This window comes from Homo sapiens, chromosome 7, assembly GCF_000001405.40.
Source record: "Homo sapiens chromosome 7, GRCh38.p14 Primary Assembly".
Lineage (NCBI taxonomy): Eukaryota > Metazoa > Chordata > Mammalia > Primates > Hominidae > Homo > Homo sapiens.
In genome coordinates, this window is record NC_000007.14 from 5,662,298 (window position 1) to 5,680,462 (window position 18,165).

Below are 18,165 nucleotides of genomic sequence, written 5' to 3' on the forward strand. Positions count from 1 at the left end.
TGTCTGGCGGTATAGCAAAAGGAAGTCCATTTTTAGATTTCCATTACCGCATAAACAGAGATAGGCTCCATGAAAGTGTTCCATAGTCACTCCCTCAACCAGCCCCTGGACGCTTACTTGTAAATACTTGCCACTTACCTCCTCAAAGGTGGCCAGGATCAGGGCATTAAGATTTGGTAATGGCATTGCTTGAGATTATCACCATCACTGAAACTGCTCTGGGTCGGTTTTGTTCAGAGCAATGCAGGTAACAGAGACAGTTTCTGCACTGAAAGGAATGAAGACACTCTCATGTTCCCACCCTTGCCCCTTCCACCAGTGCCACTGAGAGCCTTCCATCAGTGCCGCTGAGAGCCTTCCATCAGTGCCAGAGAGAGGGATCGGTATAAAACGAAGCCCTTGTCCTCTTAGAGTCTACTCACAAACAGATAACTGTATACTCTGAGGAAGATGGTGAGTACCTCAGAGGAAACTAAAGCCAGGTAGGGGGCAGGCAGTGTGAACAGGGAGGGTGCCATCTGACACTGGTTTGTCAGGGAAGGCTTGTGTAGAGCTGGCACTTCTGCTTGAGCCTGAAGGCTATCTGGTAGAGAAGCGTTCCAGGTACAGGGAATGCAAGCAGGACAGTAGACGGAGCTGGGACAGGACAGAGCGCTCAGAGAATCCAGCACCCACACCCCCTATGCCCTCAATGGCACAACATTTTGCCTAAGAATATCTCTTCTCCTCTGGCAACACCTACTCACCAGTTCTCCTTTCAAATACCAGTGGCTTGGGAAACCCAAATGACCCGGGAAGAGCTGGCACTTGCTCACTGGGCTCCCACAGCACTTAGCTTATGCGTTGTTACTGCACTTTTAGTGGCGTCTTGTAATTATCTGATTATGTCACATCTTTTCCAAATGCCAGGCGCTCCTTGCGGCAAAGATGACGTCCTGCTGGTCACTATGGACAGGCTTGGCATGGAGGGCTCAATTCATCCAATAAAAAAAAGTTCACTTGGCCAGGCATGGTGGCTTACGCCTGTAATCCCAGCACTTTGGGAGGCCGAGGCAGGTGGATCATGACGTCAGGAGATCGAGACCATCCTGGCTAACACGGTGAAACCCCCGTCTCTACTAAAAACACAAAAACAAATTAGCCAGGTGTGGTGGCGTTCGCCTGTAGTCCCAGCTACTCGGGAGGCTGAGGCAGGAGAATGGCCTGAACCCGGGAGGCGGAGCTTGCAGTGAGCTGAGATTGCGCCACTGCACTCCAGTCTGGGCGACACAGCGAGACTCCACCTCAGGAAAAAAAAAAAAAAAAAAAAAAGTTCACTTGAGGCCGGGCACAGTGGTTCGTGCCTGTAATCGCAGCACTTTGGGAGGCTGAGGCGGGCAGGTCACGAGGTCAGGAGTTCGAGACCAGCCTGGCCAACATAGTGAACCCTGTCTCTACTAAAAATACAAAAATTAGCCGGGTGTGGTGGCGCACGCCTGTAGTCCCAGCTACTCAGGAGGCTGAGACAGAAGAATCACTTGAACCCAGAAGGCAGAGGGTGCAATGAGCCGAGATCCTGCCACTGTACTCCAGCCTGGGCGACAGAGAGGGAGTCCGTCTCAAAAAAACAAAACAAAACAAAAAAACCCCAAAACAAAAAAAAAGTTCACTTGAGTGCCTATTCTGTGCCACATGGAGATGCGATGGAGATGAAGCCTGGAGAATTCCTGACCTGGAGGGGCTCGTAATCAACCACCGTACATCTCAGGTATCTTTGGATTTCTAGGGCCTAGCACTAGATTTGAGCGGCACAAGGTGCTGAATGTCTGAGCTGGAGGCTGGCAAGACAAAGCACATCTTCTCCATGCAGAGAGTTGTTTTTTTGTACTTTCCATGGGCAAAAAAAGCGTATCTATCTCCTCTCTGAAAGAACATTATTTCCTCCCTATTGGGTCTTATTTATAATTATGCCAAGTATTTTATGAGAAAATGAAATTATTAATATATACGACCCTTTCAGGTTAATTCATTACAGCTTCAGCCTTAAGGATGAGTTACTGTCCTTCCTTTCTTTGCTCCCTAATGTCTTTCCCCAATTTAATGAGTTAAACTACAAACAGCAGTTATTACCAAGCAGCTAATGACCAAATGCTTGCAGATGGTGTGAGAAAGTACTGCATATGTTTCAATTAGGATGTTCTTTGTTGATTTTCTCCTGTAGTTTCAAGACATGGAAGTTGATCTCTCTTCAATCAGGATAAAAGGAGCTCACAAACAGTAGACCCTGAAAATGTGTGCCCAAGAGAACTTCTGGTTTAGAGGGGTCAGGACTGGAAATGCGCATTCTGCCTGTGTCCCAGCCTGGCTCTCCCCAACACCCCCAGGGGCTGTGGAAGGCCAGTTGCCGCCCAAGGGTAGGCTGCACGCTTCCCCCACTGGCCAGCATTCTCCTCTGCACTCCCAGAAACAAGATAATCCAAACTGCCTGGGTCCAGTTCTTAAAGGACACACAAAATTCTTTTTTTTCTTTTTTCTTGAGATGAAGTTTTGCTCTTGTTGCCCAGGCTGGAGTGCAATGGCACAATCTTGGCTCACCGCAACCTCCACCTCCCAGGTTCAAGCAATTCTTCCTGCCACAGCCTCCCAAGTAGCTGGGATTACAGGCGCCCGCCACCAGGCCTGGCTAATTTTTGTATTTTTTAGGAGAGACTGGGTTTCACCACGTTGGCCAGGCTGGTCTTGAACTCCTGACCTCAGGTGATCTGCCCGCCTCGGCCTCCCAAAGTGCTGCGATTACAGGCACGAACCACCGCACCCAGCCAGGACACACAAAATTCTAACATGAATTCTTCTAACAGTGTCTTGTAATGATCTGATTATGTCACATCTAAGAAGCCAAGCTCACCATGCAGGGGATTCCTCTCTATCCTCAAAGTACAGTAAATCATCTCTCAAAGGAAGGAGAACCTTTACATTTCCAAATGCAGAAATTCAAATCTGGGAGTGGCCAAGTGAGAGCTCTGGGAACCATTACAAAGCCTCCCCCACCTCACTCCCTAGTCCTGAGGAAAGGGCTTCTTTGGGGAAGATTTCATGTTGTTCTTAAATATTTTTTGTTTTCATACACACCTCACCTACCATTTCTATGTACAGAACCAGGCTTTGAAAAAAGAAATCTTGAAGTGTTATTTCTGTGGATTAGAAAAGTTCTTTCCCTGAGCCACCAGGATTAGGTGACAAATTGGAATAGAAGCTTTATATGTGGTTTCTGTGCTAATGCTGCCCCCTAGGGATGGAAAGTTACAAGGCACCGAGACACCAGCTTGACTGCTCTGGGAGAGACCACACATAGCTGCCGGCTTTTTACTATACTATGGGGACCAGGGCTTCGAGGACAGAGTGGGAGGGTAAAGTCTTTCTGGAATAAATCAAAGTTCAATTTTATCTTTATCATAGTAACTACAAACAAAACTACCAATTCCCTTAGTTACTCAAATACAGACGACTGTTTCTCTCGAATGGCTGTTTAACAGAATCACCGAGACTATATCAGCAACGCCTAGGCAATGGCATCATGTGGACATTTATATAAAAATTCCAAGACCAAGGCCGGGCGCGGTAGCTCACATCTGTAATCCCAGCACTTTGGGAGGCCGAGACAGGCGGATCCCGAGGTCAGGAGATCGAGACGATCCTGGCTAACACGGTGAAACCCCGTTTCTACTAAAAATACAAAAAAATTAGCCGGGCGTGGTGGCGGGCGCCTGTAGTCCCAGCTACTCGGGAGGCTGAGGCAGGAGAATGGCGTGAACCTGGGAGGCAGAGCTTGCAGTGAGTGGAGATCACGCCACTGCACTCCAGCCTGGGCGACAGAGTGAGACTCCGTCTCAAAAAAAAAAAAAAAAAAAATCCGAAACCAGTATGTGAGCTCCTACTAAGGACTATGGGTCCTGCTCTGCAGTGGGGACACACATTAAGTGTAATATACAGTTAAGACATGATTGTAAGTGCTGAGGAGAAAAAAATAAAGGAAGAATGCACTGGGGTGGAGAGGGGGAAATAGTTCACGATTATAAACTGGTGGTCAGGGAAGGCCTCTCTGCGAAGGTGCATGTAAGTGAAGACTTAAGAAAGGCGAGGGAGAGAGTCTGGTGCTATCTGGGGGAAAGAATTCCAGGCACCAGGAACAGGGAGGAGCAGGGTGGGCAGAGCTGTAAGGTGGAGAGGAGGGTTGGGTTTGCAGGCTGCCTGGGGCCTGAGCCCAGAGTAAACAGATGCTGAAGAAGAGCCTCTGCAATGGCTGTGCATGAGGTTGATTCCCAAAGAACCCCACCTGCAGGGATCCCTTTCACGGGGAGCTCTCAAGCCTTCTGAGCTGCGCCTCTGAAGGTGGGGCCTCTCCCGCCTTCCTGCCGAGCTTCTCACAGCCTGGAAAGGGCAGGAGGGGAGGCTGTGACTAAGCCCCTTCCAAAGGATTTGCTCCCCATAGATGCTCCATACAATACAGGTTGTGGAACCGAAGTTACTACAGCAATGACTTTTTTTTTTTTTTTTTTGAGACAGGGTCTCATTCTGTCACCCAGGCTGGGGTGCAGTCAGTGGTGCCATCATAGCTCACTGGGCTCAAGCCTGGGCTCAAGTGATCCTGCCCCCTCAGTGCCCAGAGTAGCTGTGACCACAGGCACATGCCACCATACCTGGCTAATTTTTTGTACAGACCAGGTCTTGCTATGTTGCTCAGACTGGTCTCAAACTCCTGGGCTCAAAGGATGCACCCGCCTCGGCCTCCCATATGCTGGGATTACAGTTGTGAGGCACTGTGCCTGGCCAGCCATGACTTTTAAACTATAAACTGTGGCCCTATGGTGGGTTGTAAAGTCACTTCAGTAGATTATGACTAGTGGATTTAAAGTTAGAACAAAAATACTAGGGCACATTCCATGTGTCAAGTATTTGTTTTATAAAACTGTTTCTGTTCCACCTATATTTATTTATGTTTGGATGAAGCTTATGGTAATTTATATTTCTTACTATAGGTCACAAACAAAAAAGTTTAAAAGCCATTAATTTAGAATTCATTCAGAATTAAAGTTTCTTTAAAAAGGCACCAAAAGGCTCATTCTCACAATAGGAAGTCCCAAGGATCACTGCCAGGAACTGAAAACCAGCCCCATCTCTAGTTACCCTGGAGGTGACTCTGCTGATAAGGAACAATGCCCGGGAACCAGGGGAACCCCCCAGCCTTCTCCATCCTGCAGGAGCAGGGCCATGCATAGGAAGCAGATCTAATCATTTCAAACTGTCAAATAGAAACACTGTTATCACTTGGGCAGAAACAAGCCAGGCTGACCTTGTCTTTGCTCACTGCTTGGGCTACCTCTGGGCTTCCCAGGGTTTTGCTGGGAATCTTGGCCTGGCAGGAACAGCCAGCAAAACCAGCTCCTGCCTGCTGGAACTCCACTGTCAGCATGCCCTGGAAGAGAGGCTGCAGATTCCAGGAAGCCTCCTTCCAGGTAGGACAAAGACCATCTTGACACTCCTCCTCATGCCCAGGCTGACAACAGCTGGACTTAAAGTCACTGGATCAGATTGGGGAAAGGAGCCACTGGGGTCTGGGCATGGGATGGGAAGGAGGAAGTCGAGGCTTCATCCTGAGTCATTCAGCAGAAGTGCTGGTTCCAGGGTACAGCGCAGCTTCAAGCTGAGCAGGTAACTTCGCGTTGGTATTTTAGGGCGCTGTGTAAAGATGGCAGTAATTCATGTATCCAGGGACAGAAGAATACAAAGCTGTCTGAACTTGGGGTTGACAATACCCCTTTGTGGATATCAGACAGGACATCTTGCAAGGTACTGTTTATATAGCAGGCATAGAAAAGCGGCTGCCCCTGGTAGTTTTTCACATTCTCATAAAAATCAAATCCCTTCTCAGAGTAAATAGCAAAGCGGACTTTTTTTTTTTTTTTTGAGATGGAGTCTCGCTCCGTTGGCCCCGGCTGGAGTGCAGTGGCGCAATCTTGGCTCACTGCAAGCTCCGCCTCCCAGGTTCACACCATTCTCCTGCCTCAGCCTCCCGAGTAGTTGGGACTATAGGCACCCACCACCACGCCCGGCTAATGTTTTGTATTTTTAGTAGAGACGGGGTTTCACCGTGTTAGCCAGGATGGTCTTGATTTCCTGACCTCGTGATCTGCCCGCCTCGGCCTCCCAAAGTGCTGGGATTACAGATGTGAGCCACCGTGCCAGGCCACAAAGCGGACTTTTAATCTTTCCCTCCTTGCTAGTGAAATGTGACAAAAAGGGAAGCCTCTCATGGGGACAGGAGATATGAACTGAGGATGAGGGTCAAAGGAGGGAGGAAAAAAGGGTCAACTCGACACAGAAGAATGATAAAAAGTATAGGTGGGAGACACCCAGAGTGGAGGGCTCAGAAGCAGGGCCAGAGATCCCAGTCCCGAGGAAGAACGCTGTTAGGAAGTAGCCGGGGTCTGCTGTTGCCTGCCCTTCCAGGGCTTCATGCCCTTCATTCTCCTGGTTCACAAGATTTGGGCGTTCTAGTCACGGTGTATCTTCCCCATATCTTTACTACGGGAAATAGTAAAACACTATCTAGTTAGCATACTATCCACCTGATGCCTCTAGATGTGACTACTTTCACACCTTCACTCATCCCCACAGGGCTCTTATCCAGCCGAAATCTAGTCATCTCCCCCAGGAATATGAGCAGGAGCATAAGTGATTTTTAGTTCTGTGGACCTAATATTATAAAGAGCATTAGAGAGTATTTCAACGCAGGCAGGTGGCTACAGATGGCCCCCCTTGGTGGAAACTATCCCACCCAGTCCCGTGCTATGCAGGATGGGCAGGACTGTCTGCACCTGCCAGCCTGAGAGGAATATGGGCGGTCGGGCTCCAGCTATACCTACTAAGCAGAGTTGCATCTGACAAGATCTCTGATTCCGACACATAGTAAAGTTGAGAAGCTCTGACCTCTTTTGATCCAGGTCTTGGTTTTGCTGATCCTCTGATACCTCTATTTAGAAAAGAAATGATGAGATCTTTAGAAGACCAATCTTTGCCACTGGCAATCACAGGGAGGCTGACACACTCATTATCCATTCTTTTCAGTGTGGCTGAAAAGACTGGCAGAGTTTACTCAATGCTTATGAAATCATCACTCCATCTTGCCTCAAGTGAAAGATTATATTGACAGATTTAGCAGTAAGAGACCAAAAGATGCTAGAGAGTGAGGTGAGGGGTCTGTTCATGCTTCTAAATCAAGACCTAAACTTTGTATCAAATCTGCCAGATATCACTGTTGAAACTGAGACTGTGTTGGCCAGGTGCAGTGGTTCACGCCTGTAATCCCAGCACTTTGGGAGGCCAAGGTGGGCGGATCACTTGAGGTCAGGAGTTTTGAGACCAGCCTGGCCAACATGGCAAAACCCCATCTACTAAAAATACAAAAATTAGTCCGACATGGTGTTGTGCACTTGTGATCCAAGCTACTCGGGAGGCCGAGGTAGGAGAATTGCTAGAATCTGGGAGGTGGAGATAACATCGAGCTGAGATCGCACCACTGCACTCCAGCCTGGGCAAGACTCCATCTCAAAAAAAAAGAAAGTAAGTGAGATTGTGGATGGTGCGTTTGGAAATCCTTTTTTTTTTTTTGAGATGGAGTCTCGCTCTGCCACCCATGCTGGAGTGCAGTGGCGCGATCTTGGCTCACTGCAACCTCTGCCTCCCAAGTTCGAGCAATTCTCCTGTCTCAGCCTCCCGATTAGCTGGGATTACAGGCACGCACCACCATGCCCAGCTATTTATTTATTTATTTATTTTTAGTAGAGACGGGGCTTCACCATGTTGGCCAGGCTGGTCTCAAACTCCTGACCTCAAGTGAGGCACCCGCCTCGGCCTCCCAAAGTGCTGGAATTACAGGCGTGAGCTACCGTGCCTGCCCTGGAAATCACTTTCATAAACAACCTGGATGTGAGACTTTCAGGATCCATTTCCTGCACATGCACTGCTCCCCTGAGATGACACATGCCTGACCACAGTGCTGCTGCCCGACTGCAGAGGACCCAGCCATGTGATAGTGGGCTCCTCTGATGTGCATAGAGGGGCTGCCAAAAGGAGACACCCAGAACTAGAGGAGAGTGCTGAACTGGTGGTTGGGTAAAAAAAGTCTTTTACTTCCTCTTTTTGCTTATTCTTGGATTTAAATTTTTGGTACAGTTAATCATGTATGAAACAAACCTTAGGAGATTCCATCATTTCACAGAAATGTTTATGAGCAAGAAATTAATGGTATGCCCCTCACCATTCTGACCCCAAAGCATGCTTAATCTCCACCCCTACTGCTTCATTAGTTTCTTCATGTCCGACAACCTAAGGTGACCTTTGGAAGCAAAAGTACAGCTAAGGTGGTGTAACTGGGTCTCGTAACACAGTATGTTGAAATGTGACTTCCCTCTCATCTTTGTTGAGTTGTGTTTTCAGCCTTAATCCATAGCCCAAATTCTCAGTTCCAGTTATGTGGCCTACCCGGGAGGAACTTGTAGTGGTGGCCATATAAGGAGGCCGTCTGTAGCCTTTTTCAGGGGTGAGGGTCCACCCTGGGAAGGCAGGACTCAAGGTCTTCCCAAGACGAACCACCATGCCTCTCCCTTCCCTAGGAGGCCTAGAGTGTTTTCTGTGAACTGCTTGGTTCCGGGGGAGCTGCCGGAGTGGCAGCCTGCTCTGATGTTGCTAATATCATTTGTTATAGCAACAAACGATACTTTTTTCTTTACAGAAACTGCTCTAAATAACACAGATGGACAACAGGATAAAACCTCACCAGAGGCAATATGCCTTTTGCCAGGCTCCCTAAGCTGTGCTCTAGTTAGGCTCAGCAACTGCTCCATGTGCCCATGTGAAGGCTGGAAATCCTGATGAACACAGAGGGGACCCAGCTGCTCATGCCTGAATAGACTTGCCTTTGGCTCATCTCTAAGCCCAGTGGTAACTGTTCCTGCTTTCTATTGTTTTCCCAACTGAATCACACGTGCTAAAAAGACACATCATTTATCTGTGGCTGTTATGAACTGAACTGTGTCTCCCTCAAATGCATATGTGAAGCCCTCAACTCTGACACCTTGGACAATGACTGTATTTGGAGACAGGGACTTTAAAGAGGTGATTATATTAAATGAGGCTGATGGGGTGAGCGCTATTCCAATCTGATAGCCTTATAAGAAGGACAGAGAGAGCCGGGCACGGTGGCTCACGCCTGTAATCCCAGTACTTTGGGAGGCCAAGGCGGGCGGATCAAGAGGTCAGCAGTTCGAGACCAGCCTGACCAACATGGTGAAACACCGTCTCTACTAAAAATACAAAAAAATCAGCTGGGCGCGGTGGCGGGCACCTGTAATCCCAGCTATTTGGAAGGCTGAGGCAGGAGAATCTCTTCAAACTGGAAGGCGGAGGTTGCAGTGAGCCGAGATTGTGCCACTGCACTCTAGCCTGAGCAAAGAGACCAAAACTCCGTCTCAAAAAAAAAAAAAAAAAAAAAAAAGGACAGAGAGAGACACCAGAGGAGTGCACAGAAAAGACCATGTGAGGACACAGCACGAAGACAGTCCTCTGCAAGCCAAGGAGAGGGGCCTCACAAGAAACGAAATCTGCTGACAACTTCATTTCAGATTTCTAGCTCCAAAACTGTAGGAAAACTGACAGCATATATAAGCCCCTAGTCTGGTATTTTGCTAAGGCAGCCGAGCTGACCAAGACAGTGGCCATTGATGACTATCAAGGAGTAGATGGCAGTGGATCAGAGAAGTTCCCGCCCCTTTGTGCACACGCTGTGCCCTCTGATCTTCTTCATACATGTTGGAGACGTTAAGTCCTGATTCTGGGAGACAGATGGAAAGCAGGCTGTAGAGACTGGGACTAAGTCCCAGAAAACCAAGAATGCCACCGATTTATTTTCCATCCAGAAGAGCACATGGCTTCCTGGAAGCAGCTGCCCCTAAATACATGTTTACTTTGGGGGAATGATAATCTTGTAGTTATATCAGTTACTTTGGTCTTTACTAATGTTTATATAAAAGGATCCCACTCTGCAAAAACGCCAAGTTGGAGAGTTATGTTTGTTAAATTTAATAACAAGAAGTGAAGCAACCAGACTTTAGAATGAAACTACACACACATGATGTAGTGCTTGTAGCATCAAGACAATTCGGAGTTTAACCCACTGATGAATTTCAACAGGAGATGGACTTTGAATTGATGTTCTGAGAATAAAAAGAGGTTTCCAGAATTCATAAAACACATGTTGAATTACATTTTTATCCACTTACATACATTCTCTTGCTGGTACCCGACGATAAAGACTCATCGCATAAATACTTATGTGATCACATAAGCACACTGGTGCTGGTATGGAGCATGAGTCTGGAACAGAGAAGGCCAGTGAGGAGGCTGCTGTGGTCTTCCTGGTGAGCAGCGCAAGGTAGAGGATGGATATGAGGGAGGACTCAAGATAGGATGCTGTAGAGCACTGGGAGGCGAGGAGCTGGGGCTTTCTAGGACACAGGGACACAGGCAGCACACTCCCAGGATAATGCTGAGGAGCCCTACTGGATTCTATCGTTTGACCAAGGGGGATGTCTTGAAATTGGAAAATGTACAAAAAAAGTACTGAGATGTCCTGGCTACAGCTCAGGATCTGCGGTTTATAGATGTATTGTGTCTTAACAAGAGACACGGGGCAGGGGCAGGGTGTATCCATCTCTCCATCGACTCAGGGTGGTGGGGGCCTATGTGCACGGTGTGGGCATTCCCACCACTCTCTGGACCTCCGGAGACCAATGTGTCCTCTACAACACCAAATGCCCCACCTGCGGGCAGTACCGCACTGGTCACCAGCACCACCCCAAGCGGGGGAAGTCAGTGGTTATTGAGATTCTTCTATGAAGCCACAAGGTGTACAGCATGGCCTCTCCCCGCCCACCTATCTACCCTGCCTGCTTACGGTAATTAGCGTGGCCCTGTCAGTGGAGCTGCTGTTCAAGAACAGGCTCGACAGAATGGAGTGGGCTGGAGATAGCTCTGTGGGAGAAAGCATCTACAAGAACAGGCAGGCAGGTGGGGGACTGGCCTGGTTTGCGAGAAGAGAAGAAGGGGCCAGACTAACAAGAGTGACAAAGGCTCTAGAAGCCACTGCAGGTTCCAACTGGGGGTGATGTGAAGAACAGCAAAGCTGACCTGTCACGTGGGGCAGTATGCAGGGAAGAGAGCAAGTTGCAGGATCAAGTGCAGGAGGCCAAGACCACAGCCCAGAATGAGGGTCTGCAAGGAATTTCTCCATTTGGCTAGATCTGGAGAATAAAACACCCCATATCATCACAGCAAATAAAAATATTAAGCCTGAGCAACACAGCATGACCTTGTCTCTACAAAAAAATTAAAAAATTAGCTGGGTGCAGTGGTGCGCACCTGTAATTCCAGCATTTTGGGAGGCTGAGGCAGGAGGATCACCTGAACCCAGGAGTTTGAGACCAGCCTAGGAAAGATAGAGAGACCTCCATCTCTCTCTTTCTCTCATTTTTTTTTTTTTTTTTTTGAGACAGAGTCTTGCTCTATCGCCCAGGCTGGTGTGCACTGGCATGATCTCTGCTCACTGCAACATCTGCCTCTTGGGCTCAAGTAATTCTCCTGCCTCAGCCTCTGAGTGGCTGAGATTACAGGTGTGCACCACCATGCCTGGATAATTTTCAATTTTTTTTTTTTTTACGACGGAGTCTTGCCTTGTCGCCCAGGCTGGAGTGCAATGGCGTTATCTCGGCTCACTGCAACCTCCGCCTCCTGGGTTCAAACGATTCTCCTGCCTCAGCCTCCTGAATAGCTGGGATTATAGGCACCCACCACCACGCCCAGCTAATTTTTGTATTTTTAGTAGAGACGGGGTTTCACCATGTTGGTCAGGCTGGTCTCACACTCCTGACCTCATGATCCACCCACCTCTGCCTCCCAAAGTGTTGGGATTACAAGCGTAAGCCACTGTGCCTAATTTTCAAATTTTTAGTACAGATGGGATTTCACCACATTGGCCATGCTAGTCTCAAACTCCTGACCTCATGATCCGCCTGCCTCAGCCTCCCAAAGTGCTAGGATTACAGGAGTGAGCCACTGCACCCAGCCCTACATCTCTTAAAAAAAAAAAAAGGCCAGGTGTGGTGGCACACACCTGTAGTCCCAGCTAATCGGGAGGCCAAGGTGGGAGGATCACTTAAGCCCAGGAGGTCGAGGCTGCAGTGACCTATGATCGCACCACTGCACTCCAGCCTGGGCAACAGAGACTCTGTTTCAAAACTAAACAAAACAAAACAAATGAAAAAAGTCAGCTGGGAATTCCTGGGGAGACTAGTCCAAAAAGAGGTGACACTCACTCATTTATAGTTGTGCAAAGCGGGGGGTCTTTAAAGCAAATGTGGCTCTAGGAGGCCGAGGTTGGCAGATCACCTGAGATCAGGAGTTCAAGACCAGCCTGACCAACATGGCAAAACCCCATCTCTACTAAAAAATACAAAAATTAGCTGGGCATAGTGGCACGCACCTGTAATCCCAGCTACTCGGGAGGCTGAGGCAAGAGAATTGCTTGAACCAGGGAGGTGGAGGTTGCAGTGAGCTGAGATCGCGCCACTGCACTCCAGCCTGGGCGACAGAGAGAGACTCTGTCTCAAAAAACAAACAAACAAACAATATATATATATAAAGCAAATGTCGGTACAGAATGGCAACTGCTGAAAAGCCAGCTTCATATGTAACTAAAGCAGAGCTCCCACAATTTAAAAGGTGAATTTTTTATTTTAAATAATGGCAGGGAACAATGTAGTGATTCTGGAACGCTCAAATAAGGTACCAACTACTAACAGTCTGTTGTATGCTAGTTACTATGCTGGGCACTTCACAGACATCACCTCATTCAATTCTTATCCCTCTGCACACACGCTAGGTTCTGCACAGACAAGAATTAGAAGCCCCAGAGGGGACAGGCTTTCCTGGGCCATATCCCAGGGGACAGGGGAGGTGTGACTTTGGCATGGTGTAGTGGCTCATGCCTGTAAATCCCAGCACTTTGGAACACTGAGGCAGGAAGATCACTTGAGGCCAGGAGTTTGAGACAAGCCTGGACAACAAAGCAAGACACCCTCTACGAAAAATAAATTTAAAAAAATTAGCTGAGTGTAGTGGTGCCCACTTACAGTCCCAGCTACTCAGGAGGCTGAGGCAGGGGGATTGCTTGAGCCCAGGAGGTCGGGCTGCAGTGAGCTAGGATCACATCACTGCGCTCCAGCCTGGGTGACAGAGCAAGACCCTCTCAAAACAAACAAACAAACAAACAAACGAACAAAGGAGCAAGGTCATGAAGCCTATAGCGCTAACTCTATTCAAATTCTTTTTTTTTTTTGAGGTGGAGTTTCGCTCTTGTTGCCCAGGCTGTAACGCAATGGTGCGATCTCAGCTCACTGAAACCTCCGCCTCCTGGGTTCAAGAGATTCTCCTGCCTCAGCCTCCTGAGTAGCTGGGATTACAGGCATGCACCACCATGCCTGGCTAATTTTGTATTTTTAGTAGAGACGGGGTTTCTCTATGTTGGTCAGGCTGGTCTTGAACTCCTGACCTCAGATGATCCGCCCACCTCAGCCTTCCAAAGTGCTGGGATTACAGGCGTGAGCTACTGCGCCTGGCCCTCTTCTTTTTTCTTTTTTTTTTTGAGACAGAGTCTTGCTCTGTTGCCCAGGCTAGAGTGCAACGCGATCTCGGCTCACTGTAACCTTCGTCTCCCAGGTTCAAGTGATTCTCGTCTCAGCCTTCCAAGTAGCTGGGACTACAGGCATATGCCACCAGGCCCGGCTAATTTTTTTGTATTTTTAGGAGAGATAGGGTTTTGCCATGTTGGTCAGGCTGATCTTGAACTCCTGGTCTCAAGTGATCGGCCCGCCTTGGCCTCCCAAAGTGGGAGGCATTGACCACCGCGGCCAGCCTCAAGTTCTTTCCATGCCAAAGAAATTTCTTTCTCTCCAGCTATATACCTTATAATTTTATGCAAACTTTTAACACAAAACAAAGCTGCCCTTAAAAGTGCTGACGGCAGTTGCAAAAAGTATGATTCTGAACCAAGTCAAGCCCCATCTGTGAGAACTGTCGCTGGGGAACCCCACCGAGCTGCACCTGCATTGAGTACTCAGGCCAAGCCAGTGGCCTCTGCTTCCTCACAGTCTCCCGTCCGTCCTGTCTGCCTGGCTGTGTGACCAACACAGCTCTCATGGGGCTCCTGGCACACAAAAGATACCTGGACATTAGAGGGGCACCACAGGGGAATACACACACAATTGGGAGGAGCAGCTTCCGGCTGAAAAGTCTGGGCCCCCTATGCCCCTATTCTTAAGGAATAATGGCATTTCCGGCCTAACAACTGGGAGAGAAAGAAAACTCCTAAACATACAGTGCAACCTGAGCCACGACACAGAAAAGCCACTGGACTCAGGTTCCAAGCACTTCCTCTCTGGTCATTGTCCCAGGCTAGATTCAAGGCTGGCCCTGGGTCTATGACCAGGTGTGCATCCAGCTGGGGCACTTCAAAATGGGACCAGTGAACACTGGACATAACCTCATCCAAGGCCCATTATTTCCCATAGGGAAGGGTTATTGTTCCTTAAAAGCCAAACCAAACCAAAACCCACCAACCACATGAAACGAACCTCGTAAGAGAACTAACTAGTGGCCTGACCTAAGAGAAATACCACTACAGACCACATACATCTCCCTTGTTTTTAGGGCACTCTGACGTATGGTTTACATAGTGTGGAAAACAGAAGTGATTTCATTTTCTAATGGCATTAATTCTAATTTGTCCAGGTGTTAATTTTAGAGCAAACACATGTGATTTAGAGACTGCTCAGCACGTGCTTCTGCAACATCAGCCAAGGAGTCGCTATCTGCTGTTGTCTTTTGCTTCTGGATGTTACATGCTCTACTGTATGGGTGGTCTGGGCAATGCCATCTGCGTTCACTAAAGGTGGGCACTAGGTAAATTATCTCCATTGTAAGACTGGACTACTAATCACAGAACCATATTCTTTTGGTTTTCTTGCCATTTTCTCAGGCTTTCCTCTATAAAAGGAAAACAAAAAGGAAAACTAGAAGAAAAAATGAAATAAAAGATCCAAGCCATATCGAAAGGCCACTTATATGGCTTCTGGTAAATTATAATAATGGCAAACCCTTACAAAGGGACCATCCTAAGCACTTTGGGCTTAACCATTTGTCTGTCTTTTATATTTGTGTTAGCATCCTCAGATTGGAAAGAACTGACTAAGAACAGGTCTGGAATTACCATTCAATCGCTATGAGAGTAGGTGAATCCCCTTCCAGTCCTGGCCTGACCTCATTCTCCACTTCCTGTGCAGAGTCCTGGGAGTGTTGCTCAGGAAATCCTAGGAATCAGAGTCTGCCCAAGGGGAAGGGTTGTCTATGCAGAGACCATTAGAGTAACTAAATCAGAATCCAGTAGAATCAGGGGAAGGAGGATACTGGAATGTAAGGGAGCTAGAAAAACAGCTCTTTGCTCTCTTCCAGGTTCCTGGTTTACATACACAGCCCCAGCCCTGTTATTACACACCCACACTCTTAACTGGAGCAGTAAGACCACAGTGATCTTTCCAGGGGGTAACCAGATTTTGCGACTGTTCTTGGTATTCTACCTTCTCCTACACACCTGTCTTCGTCTTGGTGGTACTGAGGTTTCCTCCCAGTTCAGAGATGTGCACTCCAATGCCTGACGCCCCACTGTGGAGCCAAAGGGCCCCGGCTACATAAATTTGCCAATACTCAGGCATGTGCCCAAATCTAGGTTTACTTCTGAGGCTCTGGGGCCCTCTGCTGACCGCCTGCTGTAACTTTTAGCTCCTCACCAGACCAATAAGAAAACCAGTCTGAAAAATCTTCCCATTTTACTGCCATCTACAAGACTTTCAATTATGTTCTCTGAGCTTCTGCAATGTCAATATATTACCTGCGTTTCATAAACAGGATCAGAAGAATGTTAAGGCTGACAGGCCCTGGGCAGGGAACTAACCATCGCCAAGGACTGACCTACGTTACCACCTCCCCAAGCGCAGAGAAAAATGAGATTCAGAGATTCATGCCACCTGGCGTCCCCACATGACCTGGTGGTCAGGAAAATGGCTCTGGGCCCGCCTGAGTAGTCCACCATGGCTACTTACTAAAGTGACCTCAGGTGAGTGACCTCACCTCTCCCAGCTTCAGCTTCCCTATCTATAAAAGGAGTGCTTATAAGGAGGCCGGCACTCGTAGTGACAAATATCAACTGCTGCTCTGCCATGGCTCCAGTCACAACTGTGCCTCCTGGGCCTGCTACCCTCCAAGCACGCTTCCAGGAAACCCTGCACTGTGAGAGCTACAGCAGTGGGACAAGCTGCAGAGGCTGCTCCTCACACAGAAGGTGACGGAGCAGATTTCTCGACTCCACTTCATCAGGGAAGACATGAGAGCTGGACTGGATAAATTAAGAGGCAAAGGTCTGCAGACAAGCTGAGGAGGCCGAGCTCCTAGAGAGGAAGTGGGGAGCATGGCTGGTTTATCAGTTGCTCTCCAATAACCCTGATCACACAGGGACTAGAAATGGCCTCAATAGAGCAAAGAGGAAATTTATGGGAGCCACAAGTGTAGAATATTTTAAAAGTTATTGAGTAAAGTTGTAAAATTTAAGAGTACAGAGATTAGATACAGTGGAATGAATAACAGCAGCAGCTACCATTTATTGAGTGCTTATGGATGAAACATCTTAGTTATCAAGTCATTTAATCCTCCTAACAGACTTTTCAGGAGGATCCTGTCACCCTCGGGTAGGGGTGGTGGTGGTGCGGTGGCGGGGGGGCGGTGCACACAGCTAACAAGTGGTGGGACAGGCATCTGAACATGGCCATGCTGCTCCAGCCAGCCCCTGCTAAAGGCACTGGACTAAGGGCCTGTTTGTCACCATCTAGTGACATATTTTGGGCAAATCCTTCAGCCCTAGAATGGTGCAGAACAGGGCAAGCTGTGGTCCGGCCAGCCTCACAAGGGGCTGGGTTGTGAGGATGCAGGCGCTGAGCGCACTGGTGCACACACACCGTAACAAGTGTAACGAGGCTGTTGGTGAGTCTGGGGGAATGCGGTGAAGCCTCTCAGCAGTAGGAGTGCTGACCAGAGTCCCTTGAGGGTCCTCCCTGCCTCACATTTCTGGAAGCCTAAGTGATCACCAGATGTGCAATTATTTGATAAGGCTTAGCTCCAGGCGCTATGACAACAGACACAAAATCAAAACCACTGAAATCGAGAGAATAGCCCTGTCATGGAATCTCCCATGGAATGTGCTACTGCAAGGAACAATTAAACAAAAAAAGAAAGGCAGGCACCACTGAGAGAAGAGCGTATCTGTGTGAGTGCCTGCATTTCTAACAACTGGCCCTGTGGGAATGAGCATCTTTAGACCCTCAGCAGGAGAGACTATCATGCTCCTCCAGGTCCCTCACCCGCCTTTCTGCTAAGCGGCCAGAGTCCCTGGGCAGGTGAGCCAGGCGGCTCCACAGTCGGCTTTAAGAAACACAATAGGGACCCTGTATGCACAGCGAGTCCCTTAGGGTCCTGGGAGTCTCTTGCTGGGATCATTACATCCTCAGTCCTCTGCTACCAGAATAATCATGTGACAAGCTAAATCTGATCATTTCACTACCCTGTTTAATGACCATGGATAGACTTCCTGCTGCAATCAGGAAGAAGTCCACGTTCTTCACACAAGGGACATCTCCCCCACGAGCTGGCCCTGAAGCTTCCAGCCTCCTCAGAGCTCGCCCTGGAAACACACGCTCCCCTCTACTTTAACACTCTGTGTCCTCTTCCGGAAGTCTCTTCATGCTCTAATGCAGCCTTCAAGGTCCAACAGGGAAGTGGTTCCTTTGTCCCCCGCCCTGCCCCCAGCTAGCTCTGTCATCATAGAATGCGATCCACTCCCCCAAGCCCAAGTCTCCTACCCGAGTCCTCCACGTGGTGGGCTTGTCAGCTCACTGGTTACTCAACACTTCTTTTTTTGTTGTTGTTGAGACGGAGTCTTGCCCTGTCGCCAGCCTGGAGAGCAGTGGT

The 18,165-nt window shown here is 48.4% G+C and overlaps 1 protein-coding gene and 1 long non-coding RNA gene across 11 annotated transcripts in view, besides 1 other annotated feature; both read right to left on the reverse strand.

Annotated features, from left to right (window-relative positions):
- The window catches only part of RNF216 (ring finger protein 216), a 161,617-nt gene that overhangs the window by 42,251 nt on the left and 101,201 nt on the right, over positions 1 to 18,165 (reverse strand). Inside the window, exon 14 of one of the 10 annotated variants that reach the window (XM_047420528.1) lies at positions 6,903 to 7,009. The exons of 8 other annotated variants lie outside the window; for them this stretch is intronic. In XM_047420528.1, the coding sequence (XP_047276484.1) occupies positions 6,903 to 7,009 (107 nt within the window). Of the gene's footprint in view, positions 1 to 6,898; positions 7,010 to 18,165 lie in introns of all 10 variants that reach the window. One more of the 10 variants, XM_047420527.1, reaches the window with a different exon arrangement.
- On the reverse strand, positions 135 to 18,164 carry RNF216-IT1 (RNF216 intronic transcript 1). Its single transcript, NR_046834.1, has 3 exons — positions 18,057 to 18,164; positions 4,313 to 4,407; positions 135 to 268 (listed from the first exon to the last, which is right to left on the reverse strand). It is a non-coding gene; the product is annotated as an RNF216 intronic transcript 1 (long non-coding RNA).
- Positions 17,966 to 18,065: an enhancer, noted in NCBI's record as "active region_25605". NCBI's record gives its function as "activates an Ori minimal core promoter by ATAC-STARR-seq in GM12878 lymphoblastoid cells {active_cell/tissue: GM12878}" and the evidence as "EXISTENCE:reporter gene assay evidence [ECO:0000049][PMID:35858748]".